A 14,953-nucleotide genomic window follows, 5' to 3' on the forward strand; every position below is an offset into this window, starting at 1 on the left:
TCTCCTATGTCAGGTGCTGGGTATACATTGATGAATGAAACAGACTCTATCCTTATGGAACTTGTGTCTAGTGAGCTTAGAAGTAAATTTTGTGAGTGCTAGGATGGAGAGTCAAGCTAAGGACTCTTAGTTCTGCCAGCATTTAACATGTTGTTCTTATACATTTTAAGAATAAATTACTCCAGAAGAATCTTTTTTTTTTGTTTTGTTTTGTTTTGTTTTGGTGAAGAGTATCCACATAGACACACATAGCAAAGACCTTATAGAATGCATCAGAGATAAACAAAATAAAATGTAATGTTTCCCAGAGCTGGATGTAGTTTCTGGTTTGATTTATTTTAATGACACACAGAAGAAATCACTTTATAATGAAGTAAAATTCCACACTACAGAAACAGAGTAAAAATACTTTCTTGAAAAAAATGCCAAACCTACCTTTAATCCCAAGGAAAGAGAATTGCTTGAATAGATCTGTTAGTATGAAACACATAATAGACAACCTGCTGTGTAAAATTACTTGGAAGTCATATTTTAGAAGGTTTTAAACATTCTTAATATACTCTGTTTTTGATATTACGTCTTATATTTTTCTCTGTGGTGGAAATTTATTTCTAAGAAATAAGAAAGGATATTAGAATGGCAAAAAATATTTGTATAAATGTGTTAACATTTTAATGGTAACTATATATGAATAAAATAAAAACATTGTTAAAAATTTATTGGAATGAATAATAAAATTATCAAGTTTATAATTAATAAAATCAAGTATATTTCTTCTTATGCAATTTAAAAATAGTGCAGAATGTTTATTATTCTGGTATCACTAAAAATGACAAACTTCATTCATATCTATAGAAAAATAATTATAAAATTCAGCAAGTAATACAGGAGATAATTTGAACAAATATTGAAACATTTTCTTACTTAAAGACACTAGGTAAAAATTTCAGCAATGAGTAGAGAGGTTATCAAGGCGCATTTTATTATTGATGATTGATATATGTTTTTTCTCTCGAGAAAGTGCACAGGTGGGTATCAGCAGAGGAGACAGTATAGGCTCCCCAGATGTCAAAGCAGGGATGCGCCAATACCCATCAGTCATCATCATAAAAGACAGACTGTGCCTTCCTGTGTCAGGCTCTGTGCCAGGAGCTGTGTGCCCCACGTTCCCTTCCAGGGTCCTGCCTGAAGTCTGTGCTCACTCAGCCAGCCCCATCATCTGGAAGTAACAGTCCCCTCCTCCTGCACTGGAATAAGCAGAAGATTTGGGTGGACAGTGTGGCCTGGCCCCATCAGCTCCCAGGAGAAGCTCTCTGTCTCTCTCTCATCCTGCATGCCAGTTAATGACGATAAAACCCACCTAACCAACCCATCTACAACACTCAGCTTCATCCCTATCTCTCTCTCACACTCCATCAAGGGACACAGTCATCCCATGGGTTTTTTCCCCTGGCATCTCTCACTTTCTTCCTCTTCCAGATCCCTGGGATCAGCTATCACCCCACCCGACACCCCTTCTCCTGCTTGGCTGCCTTCAGGCTCTTTGTTGAGCCTGACACCAAAGGATGTCTTTCTAAAGTGTCAGTTTCATCTATTCTGCCCCCAGTTCACAACCTGAAACAACCTCCGATAGTGAATCAAGCCAAGCCCCTCACTCTAAAGCACAGAGACATGCCATGAATTCCTAAGGGGATGACAGAATACATCATTGATGAGAAGATTGAACAAGTGAAGTGTGAGTGGCAAGTCAGGTGAGGACATTTGAATCCAATCTGGCATTTAAAATGTCTCTTCATTTCCAAAGTCCTATCTCTCCCTAGTAATGTTGTTTGACTGCTAGTCCCAGAGCAGGACCCCACATCCCAGTGACAGCCAAGTCACAGTCGCCTCCTTCCCTGGTCCCTGTGGAAAGAGCTGCTCAGGGCTTTGCTCCCAGAGCCCTCTGCATTCCCAACTTCCTGCAGCCTCCTTTCATTGGATGGGGGTGATAGTTTGCACATGCCTTTCTAGTAATCCAAGAAAAACTTACTGAAAAAGTCTGTTTGTTCATGTCAGTAATCAGGGGCATGACCAGGGCATGGCCCATAAATGCCTCTGGACTGATACTCACCAGGCTCCCAGGCCAACACCACATACATGATTTCCACTGAGAGAATGCAGTCTGGACAGAGAGCAGCAGGGTACACTGTAGGTCTGCCCAGTGGGCATCCACAGCTGTGCCAACCCCTCCCACCCCACAAATTCCTCAGGGCTGGGCAGTGGACCCTGCCCTCACTGAGCCTGACTCAGCAGCTCTGTCCTCCCTGGGTGTGGTCCCAGCACCCACTTCCTCCCAGGTCTGGCCTGCCAGACTCCCCCCTCCACCAGACCCTAGGACTTGAATAAATACATAGGGTAAGGTAGAGGCAGGCAATGTGGGGGACACATTTGGGTCCATAACTCCTCCTCTGTGAGGTCAGTGGAGGGGATAAGAGGCCTGAGGCAGCCCACTACGGCTGTGGACCTCAGGAGGACTGTGTTGACCATGGCCTGGGCCCCTCTCCTGCTGTTTCTCTCTCAATTCTCAGGTAGGCACAGGCCTCCCATGTCCAGGGCATGTCCCTCAGGCTTCACCAGTCCCCTCTGGCTAAAATCTTACAGCAACTTTATGCTGGTAGGTGGCCCAACTCCCATGTGCATCTGTGTCTGCAGGTTCCCTCTCCCAGCCTGTGCTGACTCAGCCGCCCTCCCTCTCTGCACCTCCGGATCAGCCAGACTCTCCTGCACCCTGAGCAGTGGCTTCAGTGCTGATTTCTACTGGATATACTGGTACCAGCATAAACCAGGGAGCCTCCCCAGTATCTCCTGAGCCACTACCAAAATTCACTTCATGACCAGGGCTCCGGGGTCCCCAGGCACTTCTCTGGATTAATGGAAGGCCGGTCCAATAAAGGGCTCTTGCTCATATCTGATCTCCAGTCTGAGGATGAGGCTTACTATTACTGTATGATCGAGCACAGCAGAGCTTCTCATGCTGACACACACAGGTGGGGAAGTGGGACAAAATCTCAGCCTGCTCAGAGTCTTGTTCTCTGATGAAATTTAGATCTTAAAATAACTTATATCACTTGTGTGGGATGAGTGAGATATCCCGAGCTCACAGGAACTGTCGATGAACAGAGTCGAGCTCTGTAAAATATTGAAGACATTTATTCCAAGCCAAATATCAGTGACCAATGGCCCACAACGCAGCCCTCAGGAGATCCTGAGAACATGTACCCCAGGTGGTCAGGCTGCAACTTGGTTTTATACATTTTAAGGAGACATGAGACATCAATCAACACATGCGAGATGTACGTTGGTTGAGTCCAGGAAGGCAGCACAACTCAAAGTAGTGGGGCTCCAAAGATCGTCTTTTTGATAATTGGTTAAAAGAGTTAAATTATTGTCTAAAGACTTAGAACCAAAGGAATGCCTGGGTTAAATTAAGGCATTGTAGTGACCAAGGTTTTGTTGCTCAGAGGAAGCCTCCAGGTAGCAGGCTGCAGAGAGAATAGATTGTAAATCTTTCTTATCAGATGTAAAAAGTCTGTTCTCTCAGAAATTCCAAAAATGAGGAGGCATATCTGGCTCCCCGTTCCCAAGATGACCTGAACTCTCTTTCAGATTAACTTTGGAATGCCCTTGGCCAAAAGGAGGGGTCTGTTCAGATGGATGGGAGTCTTAGAATTTTATTTTTGGTTTACAATCCTGTAACACATCCTGTAATTTGCTGCCCAGAGGTCATTAATGGCCTGGAAGAAATAATGTGCCAGCTGCAGTGTTGTCCACAGAAAGACTTACTCATTCTGCTGCCCTGAGTAGTGATATCAGAAAGATCCATCTGCCAACAGTCAGAATGCCCTTCCAGGAGGGTTGCACAGTACCAGGGGTGCTGGAAGACCTGGGATCTGAGGCAAGCAGGGGGCACTGTTGGATGGATCCCAAGATGACAGGATTACCAGGCCACACAAGGATTAAACAAGAGACAGTAACAGTCCACTGGCTCTTACACACTTGGATAAGCAGTGACCTCCCTGAAGAATGACTTTCCTGCACCTGGGCTGAAGGACCCACATGAGCACTGGGTTTTGGATAAAATAGAGCAATTTCATTTATGAACATAGATGTGAAAATTCCTCAGCATATTCACAAGTAGAACCCATGCTGGACCTCTGACCTCTAGGATTTAGGCTGAGAACAGGACATTTGTGAGGTCGGTGGGGAATAAGCATGAACTTTGGAGGGACAGCAGGTATGAGGGGTGCTGAGCCGTATGTTAGATGCCCCAATCAGGGAAAGAGCCTCGAGGCTTCCAGTGCAGCTTCCCTGATACCCTGTGGGAGAGAAAGATAGATACTGGATATGCTGCAATAGAGCTCACTAATGCTCTAGTAAAGAGCAGGCAGCTTGCATTAGCACAGTCCTTCAGGAGAGAAAACGCAGCCCCAGGAAAGCTGTCAGAGGCCAAGATGACTCATTAGTCACATTGAATTCATAATGCATTTATGATGAAATATATGATAAATGTCTTATCCTTTTGTTCTTTTTTATTTTTTATTATCGTGGGTACATAATAGGTGTATATATTTATGGGGTTTATGAGATGTTTTGATACAGGCATGCAATGTGAAATAATTATATCATGAAGAATGGGGTATCCATCCTCTCAAGCATTTATCATTTGTGTTACAAATGATCCAATTACACTCTTTACATAATTCAAAAAAGTACAATTAAGTTATTATGACCATAGGTATCCTGTTGTGCTATGAAATAGTAGGTACTATTCATTCTTTCTAACTACTTTTTGTACCCATTAACCATCCCCACATCACCTCCTACTCCCTGCTACCTTCCCAGCCTCTGGTAACCATTATTCTACTTTCTATGTACATGAGTTTCAAATGTTTTGATTTTTAGATTCCATAAAAAAGTGAGAATATGTGATGTTTGCCTTTCTGGGCCTGGCTTATTACACTTAATATAATGATCTCCAGTTCCATCCCTGTTGTTGCAAATGACAGACTCTTATTCTATTTTATGGCTGAATAGTACTCCATCGTGTGTATTTACCACATTTTTTATGCATTCATCTGTTGATGGACACTTAGATTGCTTCCAAATCTTAGCTAAACAGTGCTGCAGCAAACATAGGAGTGCAGCTATTTCTCTGATATACTGATTTTCTTTATTTTGGATATGTATCCAGCAGTGAAATTGCTGGATCATATGGTAGCCCTATTTTTAGGTTTTTTGAGGAACCTCCAATCGTTCTCCATAGTGGCTGTACTAAATCCAAGAACATTCAAAATCATATTTATATCAGTGCTAAAAAGTGTGACTTGACTTCAAACAATAGCCAGTAGTTGGTAGGAATACAAGTATAAGTTTGCTAAAAATATGATTTGTCATTTATATGAATATTTCTGTTCCCAGAACAATCTCATGTAGACTGGCTTCTGGAATCTCTCCTACCTCCTACTGAGCTGACTCTCCTGGAGCCTGGCCGTAACGGTGCAGGGCTGGAAGCTATATACTACAAGCACATGCTGTATGGCATCCAGCACTAACCTGGGCAGATGACGGCGAAACAATGTGTGATATTTCCATTTGATTTATTTTCCTTCTTTCTCTATAGAAAGTGTTATTATAAAACTGTTATGTTGAAGGAACACAAAATTTGAAGGAAAGGAATCAAACATAAATGTTAAATGTTTATGTGTGTTTATACTGTTGATCTATGATATCTCTTGTAGTTACTGTTCAACATTTCTATTTTATATGCTTTTGTAAAATAAACAACATATTTTATACAAAAACTCTCATGTGTGCTAGTTGAAAGTAATGCCACCTAAATGCAATAACAGAATTTGAGGAGACTAAAATGTGTTGATTTGAGAGACAGTAAGAGTAATTTAGAACAAGTCCCCATCTGGCTCTGAAATCTAATCCTTTGCTGGTATCCCTACACCTGAAAACCTGCAGGCTTTGCACCCGCTGCAGACAGATGACATTGAGTTAAATTCATGGGTCTCCACTGAGGGTCACAATAGGCTGGTGTGGCACAGTGCATTCTGGGAGATACACAACTGAGGGACAGTAGGCTGGGCGCGGTGGCTCACACCTGTAATCCCAGCACTTTGGCAGGCCGAGGCGGGCAGAACACGAGGTCAGGAGATCGAGACCATCCTGGCTAACACGGTGAGACCCTGTCTCTACTAAAAATACAAAAAATTAGCCGGACATGGTTGGGGGGCACCTGTAGTCCCAGCTACTTGGGAGGCTGAGGCAGGAGAATAGCATGAACCTGGGAGGAAGAGGTTGCAGTGAGCCGAGATTGTGCCACTGCACTTCAGCCTGGGCGACAGAGCAAGACTCTGTCTCAAAAACACAAAAACAGACAAACAAACAAAGAACTGAGGGACAGTATATCCCCAGTGGACACCGATCCATAATCAGCCCCAGTCACTGCACAGACTGGGTGTATGGTGTCCTCAGTGCCTGCTGCTCCCGTGTAAATGAACAGCAGGAGATCCTAGGGTATTAGTGAATTATATATTCATTTCCAACGTCACACTCAAGATGAAGTCTCTACAGTATTTGAAATTGAACTTGGACAGCTTCAACTATTTTTGTTTCAAAAAATATTATATATACAAAAATACCCTATTTCTGAAGGTAATTGGAGTTTATTTTACTTCCACAATAATACTAAACATAAATGGTTAGCGTATTATAAAGTGGTGTGTCTAGGCATGGACAGCAGAAGGCACTTGGAGCCTGTTCCTGAGGGTCTGGGGGTGTTCGGAGCTGAGACCAGCCACTTCCCCTGTCTGGTGCTCTCTGTTCAGGGCTCACAGCTGTGATCTCCTCACCCCTGAACGGCTCACAGCACTACTCATACTTATCCCTATGGCGCCCTCAGGCAGAAGAGTCTGATCCAGAGCTCAGGGTGGGATCAGAAAAGTTCCCATTTGCATGAGGAGATCCTCCCTGCCTCAGAGTATAAAGAGAGAAAAGGAGAGAGTTGGGAAAAGCTTTACTTCAACTGTGGGGCAAAAAGGCAGGACTCAGGACAATCTCAAGAATGGCCTGGTCCCATTTCCTGCTCACCCCCTTTATTCACTGCACAGGTGACTGGACATGGGGCCACGGAAGGGGCCCTGGGGAGCCCATGGAGAGCTGCTTTCTCCTCTTATTTATAGACCCAGAATCACCATGTCTGTGTCTTTCCCACTTTCAGGGCCTTGGGTCCCATCTGCGCTGATTCAGTCACCCTCAGTCCCTGGGGCTCTGGGCCAGAGGGTCACCATCTCCTGCACTGGAAGCAGCTCCACTTTGGTTATTGGTGTGATGTACACTGGTTCCAGCAGCTCCAAGGAATGACCCCCAAACTCCTCATCTATAAAAACAATTGGTGACACCTGTGGGTCCCTGACAATTCTCTGGCTTCAAGTCTGGCAACTCCATTTTTGTGACCATCACTGTGCTACAGCCTGAAGATGAGGCTGATTATCACTGCCAATTCTACAAAAACAGCCTGAGTGCTTTCACAGTGCTCCGGGTTGAAGTAAGTCAGACCAAAACACACAGTGTGCCCAGCCATGAAGCTCTCCCATGCACCCCCTACTCTGCAGCTAAGTCAATGTGTTCTCTCACTTGTTTGTCCTAAAACTGGGGCCTGAGAACTTCTTCAGGGTAATTTTTCTAGGGAATGTGTCCTCACCCTCTCAATATCTGCCCCAAATTCACTCTTTGGCAACAATACCATGTGCTCTTTTCTCAGAGGTAGCAGCTGGTACTGAATGCCAGAGGCCAGCTGCCCTGTGGTGGAGTACATATGGGTGAATCAGTCGGCTGGGGCTTCCACAACAACACACCACAGACTGGAGTCTTCACCAACAGATATGTACTGTCTCACTGTTCTGGAGTCTGAAAGGACCAGATGAAGGTGCCACCCCGTTTGGTTTTCTCTTTGCCCTCTTTCCTTTGCTTCCAGATGGCTCTTTTCTCACTGTGTCCTCACATGGCCACCCCCAGGTCTGCATGTGGTTTTTGTACACATTTCTTATGAAGTCTTTAGTCCTTTTGGATTAGAGACTCATTCCTATGACTTCATTGAATCTTAATAATCTTAGTGTCCAGATCTCCCAATACAGACAAATTGGTAACTTAGTTATAACATAAAAAATCAGGGGGCCAGGCTCGGTGGCTCACTTCTGTTAATCCCAGCACTTTGGGAGGCTGAGGTGGGTGGATCACGAGGTCAGGAGATTGAGACCATCCTGGCTAACACGGTGAAACTCCATCTTTACTAAAAATACAAAAAATTAGCTGAGCATGGTGGTACATGCCTGTAGTCCCAGCTACTCGGGAGGCTGAGGCAGGAGAATCACTGGAACCAGGAGGTAGAGGCTGCAGTGAGCCAAGATCACCCACTGCACTCCAGCCTGTGTGACAGAGCAAGACTCCATCTCAAAAAAAAAAAAAAATTCGGGGTGGATGCAATATAATTTGTAACAAAGGATCAGGGGTCCAGGGACCCAGAGTCCATCTGTGTCTGACCCAGGAGAGGTGATGCTGCAGAGGCCACCTGGTCACTCCATTCCTCTGAGCTCCTACTATGTGCAGATTCTGGATGTGTTCTTGGTGCTCAGGGTACAGCGTGGATAAGACAGGATGGTCCCTGTCCTCCAGGAACTGATGCTATTTAGGGGAAAACAGAACACATCAGTAAATGTATCAATAGGAATATGACATGTTTTAGGAAAATGAAGAGAGGTGTGTTTTGGTGAGGTGGGGTGAGCAGACTTAGAGGAGTTGACGACAAAGATGCAGCGACTGATTAAGGTTGTAAAATTCACCTGCTGCAACATAAAGTGAACTAAGAGGAAGTGAGGGTCCAGGCAGGGCCATATGAGGCTCTGGTTTTGACACAAACATTAGGCTGTGGAGTCCTGGACATGGGCGGAACACGCAAACGGTGAAAGGTCATGTCTGCATGGTTCAGAAGTGGGAGGTGCTGAGGAATGGAGTGTGGGGAGACAGGGACCACAGCTGGGATCTCGGGACCTGTGAGGGGTATGGGTGAGCAGCAGCTAAGTGAGAAAACATTAAGGACCCTGTGTAGTTGACACAAGATTATTGACATCTTAAGTTTTCAATAAATACAATCAGCGCTGACAAATGTGGCCGTGCCTCAGAAGAGCTAGAAATGTTTATGTCTAGGTAACTCTCATGTTCTGTAGAACTTCACTTGTATTTTTTTGGTTTTAAAGGATTATTATAAGAGCAGACGTTTATGAATATACTCCATTCTTTTATCCTCAATATTGCCCATCTCTTAAAATCCTTTGGCTTTACACACACCTACAACAAACTGATCTTCAAAAATTGATAAAAATAAACGATGTGTAAAGGATACCCTATTCAATAAATGATGCTGAGAAAACTGGCCTACAATGCAGAAAAGTAAAACTGGACCCCTACCTCTTACCATATAAAAAATTAATTCCAGATGAATGAAGACTTAAATGTAAGACCTCCAACTATTAAAATCTTAGAAGAAAAGTTGGAAAATACTCTTGTGGACATTGGTGTGGGCAAATAATGTATGTCTAATCATCAAAAGAAATTGCAACAAAAAACTTGACAATCAGAACCAGATAAAACTAAGGAGCTCCTGCATGGCAAAAGAAACTCTCATCAGAGTAAACAGACAGCCTACGCAATGGGAAAAATATTTGCAAACTATGCATCTAACAAAGGACTAATATCCAGAATCTATAAGAAAGCTAAGTCAACAAAAAAATTTAACTCCATTAAAAAGTGGACAAAGGACATGGTCACTTCTCAAAAGAAGACAAAAAAGCAGCCAGCAAACATGAAAACATGCAGAACTTCACTTATCAGAGAGGTGCAAATCAAAACCACATGGGATATCATCTCATACCAGTGAGAATGGGTATTATTAAAAAGTCTAAAAATAACAGATGCTGGCAAGAATACAGAAAAAAAGGAATGCTTATACATTGTTGGTGGGGATGTAAATTAGTACAGCTTCTGTGGAAAGCAGTTTGGAGATTTCTCAAAAAAAAAAAAAAAAAAAAAAAAACTACCACTGGACCCAGGAATCTAGGTGTGTACACAGAAGAATATAAATAATTCTACCAAAAAGATATCTGAACTCATTCGTTTGTTGCAGCAGTATTCACAATAGCAATAACATGGAATCAACTCAAGTGCTCATTAGTAGTGGATCGAGTAAAAATAAAATGTGTGATACGCATTCACCATGGAATACTATGCAGCCATTGTGAACAACAAAACCATGTTCTTTGCAAAATATGGATGTAGCTGAAAGCTACTTTGCTTCCAGATGGCTCTCTTCTCACTGTGTCCTCACGTGGTCACTCTCAGGTCTGTGTGTTGTTTTTGTACAGATTGCTTATGAAGTCATTAGTCCTCTTGGATTAGAGACTCATTCTTATGACCTCATTGTATCTTAATTATCTTAGTGTCCAGATCTCCCAATACAGATAAATTGTTAATTCAGTTATAACGTGAAAATTCAGGGTGAACACAATATAATTTGTAACAAAGGATCAGGGATCTCTTTGGCTTCTCGATGGATCATCTGCCAAGGGGCAAGGGGGTAATTTTTACAATGATAGGCGCATAGCTCTTAACACAAGACAGAATTACCCTGTTGAATGCTTCATTCAAATGACATGTTAGGGAGGAGGCCAGTTGGATGATAAAGCTTTGGGAATGAACATTTAACAGCACAGGATCTAAAATGCAGAAGAAAAGAACCTCTGATGCAAACTTTCTGAGTGGAGATAAACTGTCTGATATCCTGCAGATTAATAAAACCAGAAACTTCATCTGCCCCCTCTAATAGAAATCTACACATTAACACAATTTCACTATATGAAGTTTCCAGAAGATGATGTGGAGCTTGCAGGTGAGCTTCATTTTACACTTTCCGCCTATTCATTTCTGTGGGAGGACTTACTTTCCCTCTTTCAATTTTCTCATGTGCTGTTCATGTCACACCCTCTAATTCAAGGCTCCAGCCCACCTTTCCTGCCAACACCAACACTCTCTGTAGATGAAAACCCACCAGTCAGCAGCCTCCTTGGCCTGAGAGAGGTCATCTTCCTGGGTTTCTAAGACTCTGGTCCTGCCGAGATTCTCCTTCCTCAATCCTAATCCCGTGGTCTCTGGCAGCCCCTTCACATGGACCTCATCGCTCGTCTCTGTGTTCCTCCAGCTATATCCACGTCAGAAACTGCTCTTCATCTGCACTAGAAATAAAGAATTATCCTCTCAACTCTTAAATGTTTGCTCTGATTCTCTCCTCTTCTTTGAGCTCAGGCACACCACCCCCTCTCAGATTCCTGAGTGTGGCAGTGTCCCCTCTCCAGTCTCCCTACCACCTCCAATGGTGAAGGCGAAGAAAGGATGTCCCTGCATGTATCACATCCTCATCCTTCCCTTCAGGGTCAGCTCCCTGGGTAGGGAAAACACTGTTCCCTTGAGGCTCACATACCCACTGTCAAAAAGCACCCAGCACATGGTAGGCACTCAATAAACCTTTACCAAATGCAGACCTGCCTCTCACCACACTGGACACATTGTAGTGAGCTCAGGATGGGGCTAAACTGGGAGTATTAGCTGTAAACTTGCTCCTCTCTCTGTCCCCAGCCTGAGAGCTGAGGGGGCACCCACGAGGGAGAGCACCTAGGGGCAGGGAGGGGTCACAGGCAGCCTCATCCTCTGTGTGAGACACTGCTCAGACTGGGGGATCCCTCTTCATTCAGATGGGAAGAAAAGGGAAACAAAATTCGGTAGGAACTTCTACGCATCCACACAGAGGAGGCAATGACAAGAAAACACAGGATGCAAGCACAGTGGTAATAATGTATTTCTACCTAATATTGAATAAAACTCAATATTGCCTGTATTCTGTAAACAATAACTATTTACAAAACTGACTGTAAATTATGCTTTTAAAAACCACAGCTTATGAAGAAGAGAAACCTCAAACAATGACACCCCTGAATTGCAAATCTAAGACATGGCACACATTTATTTTCAGTTCCATATGTGGCCTGGATTTATTTACAAGACAATATTATGATATTATATGTCACTATTCCATTTTAGATGGTGTATTTAAAATCTCACAGTACTGCAACTGCCTAGTAATCTACTCATCAGTATAAACATCAATGTGACAATCCTGCTATCCTTCTCTACCCCTGCATAACCCCAGCAAAAATTCATTATGAATTCACAGAATGTAATATCAGAACTGTTGTAGCCACATACACAGTTTGTTTCATTTTATGTTTTGATAAAGTAATCTTTTTTGTTTAAGCTTATTGTTTTTTAAAAAATATATTACATACTAGATGTCATTACAAATCAGAGATTAATAATTTCTCTTATGCTTATACTACTCCCACAGCACTCATTACTGAATGTAAACCATATTTATATTTTCTTTCTTTTTTTTTTTTTGAGACAGGGACTCACTCTATCACCCAGGCTGGAGTGCAGTCGCACAATCTCGGCTCATTGTAACCTCCACCTCCCAAGTTTAATTGATTCTCCTGCCTCAGCATTCTGAGTAGCTGGCATTACAGGCACCCGCCACCATGCCCAGCTAATTTTTGTATTTTTAGTAGCGATGGGGTTTCACCATGTTGGCCAGGCTGGTCTCGAACTCCTGACCTCAAGTGATCTGCCTGCCTCAGCCTCCCAAAGTGCTGAGATTACAGGCTTGAGCCACCTGCCTGGCTCCATATTTATATTTTCTAAACATCCTACTTGGAGTGGCTGATCCTACCAGCTACCATGTTTCCACCTCACCTGGGATCAAACACTGACAATTGGTAATTTTATCTCTTGCAGTCTTCAAATATTGAGCAAATTTGCCATTTTTGCTATTCAATAAAAATGCTGCAAAGTTATTTGCCATGCCACTGACTCTGTTCAGTGCTTGGAGGACAGACTCCTAGGAGTGAGAAGTTGACCACAGCATCTGAATAGCTATTACCCCAAGTCTGTGGAAATTAGAGAACAAAATTTTACCAGAAATGCCCCCCAGAGCTTCTCCCCATAACCTCACCACCCTTAGAGAAGAGAGCTCCTGTTCTCCTCAGTGCTGCAGGGTCCACAGAGGAGGAAGAGCTCTGGCCAGCAGGGAGGAGCCACAGAAGAAAGGACCTGGTGTCTCCCGTGACCAGGGTAGTGAGTCATGGGAACCAGTCACTGCTCTGGACTTGACCTGACCTAAGAGGACTTGGTATAGAGTCACCACTTCAGTCCTCACCAAGGAACATCCAAAAAGCCCTGGACAGATTCACCCTTAAGGAGACCAGTAAAGCATGAACTGCCCTGAGTTAATGAGAAGGTCACAAAAAGGGTCTGTCTGGCCTGGTGCTGAGCCTGGGGGCAGTGATCAGAGCAGGGGGAATGCACAGCTGGCTCTGGGGACATCTGGTCATCATGTCACAGGAGAGTGTGTCTGGATGTGGACACCTGGGGACATGAAGGGCTCATTACCAAGTGATCTAGGGGAGATCAGAGCTGCGATCAGCTAACTGCCTGCATGGTGCCCTCTGCTCAGTGATCACAGTGGTGAGCTCCTGATGCCCCGGAACACACAGTTTCACCCTTGCCTGCATCCCTGATATCCACGAGAGGGGCCTGACCCAAGGCCAGCGTGTCATCAGAAGGCTGGGGGGCTCTAATTTGCATGGATGGACCCTCATTCTCAGAGAATGAAGAGGGGAAGGGAGAGATTTGGGGAAGCTCTGTCTCAGCTGTGGGCACAGAAGGAAGGCAGGACTCAGGACAATCTCCAGCATGGTCTGGTTTCCTCTCCTCCTCACTCTCCTTGCACACTGCACAGGTGACTAGATATAAGGCCATGGCTAAAGCCCTAGGAAGCCCATGGGCCCTGCTTTCTCCTTTTGTCTCTCAACCCAGAATCACCATGACTGTTTCTCTCCCACTTCCAGGATCCTGGGCTCAGTCTGTGCTGACTCAGCCACCCTCAGTGTCTTGGGCCACAAGGCAGAGGCTCACTGTCTCCTGCACTGGAAGCAGCTCCAACACTGGGACTGGCTATAACGTAAACTGTTGGCAGTAGCTCCCAAGAACTGACCCCAAACTCCTCAGGCATGGTGATAAGAATTGGGCCTCCTGGGTATCTGACCAATTCTCTGGTTCCAAGTCTGGCAGCTTGGCCTCCCTGGGCACCACTGGGCTCTGGGCTGAGGACAAGACTGATTATCACTGCCAGTCCCGTGACATCTGCTGAGTGCTTGTACAGTGCTCCAGGCTTGCAGGGGAGTGAGACAAGAACCCCCTTCCTCCTTTCCCAGGAGGGTGAGTGCCCAGCAGCTACTGCACAGGCCTGGCCTGTGGCTTCTGCAGTTGCTGTTTCCCCAGTGGGCCTGGGAGCATCCAGGGCCCCACCTGGGAGTAGATGCTTCTCCTCCCCTCCGTCCTCAGAGTCACCCACAGCAGTCCCTTTCTAGGAAAAGGGCCTCCAGAAAACAGAATGTCCTGTACCCTGCAACTTGGGACACAGGGTCTCTGCTCTAAAGTCCAGGGGCTGGAGTGACAAATCCAGCAGTGAAATCTCAGATCTACATCTGATGGGGAACCTGCATCTCCATCATCCTTTTGCTATTTCCAGGAGTTTTCAAAGCAGTGTCTTCCTCTCACTGGTCCTCAGTGTGTTTTCCTGTTCTTTTTGTTTCAGCCTATTTTTTTTTTTTTTTTGAGATGGAGTCTCGCTCTGTCGCCCAGGCTGGAGCGCAGTGGCGCGATCTTGGCTCACTGCAAACTCCGCCTCCCGGGTTCACGCCATTCTCCTGCCTCAGCCTCCCGAGTAGCTGGGACTACAGGCGCC

At 44.6% G+C, this 14,953-nt stretch overlaps 3 pseudogenes and 1 further gene; all 4 read left to right on the plus strand.

The window, feature by feature from the left end:
- The window catches only part of IGL (immunoglobulin lambda locus), an 896,838-nt gene that overhangs the window by 46,586 nt on the left and 835,299 nt on the right, over positions 1–14,953 (plus strand).
- IGLVIV-64 (immunoglobulin lambda variable (IV)-64 (pseudogene)) lies at positions 2,525–3,021 on the plus strand (annotated as a pseudogene). The gene is given in 2 exon segments: positions 2,525–2,567; positions 2,692–3,021. Coding segments are annotated over 2 exon segments (373 nt in total).
- Positions 7,109–7,572, plus strand: IGLVI-63 (immunoglobulin lambda variable (I)-63 (pseudogene); annotated as a pseudogene). Its single transcript is given in 2 exon segments — positions 7,109–7,154; positions 7,265–7,572. Coding segments are annotated over 2 exon segments (354 nt in total).
- On the plus strand, positions 14,055–14,363 carry IGLV1-62 (immunoglobulin lambda variable 1-62 (pseudogene); annotated as a pseudogene). Its single transcript is given in 1 exon segment — positions 14,055–14,363. A coding segment is annotated over 1 exon segment (309 nt).

Source organism: Homo sapiens, chromosome 22, assembly GCF_000001405.40.
Source record: "Homo sapiens chromosome 22, GRCh38.p14 Primary Assembly".
In the NCBI taxonomy this organism is placed as follows: domain Eukaryota; kingdom Metazoa; phylum Chordata; class Mammalia; order Primates; family Hominidae; genus Homo; species Homo sapiens.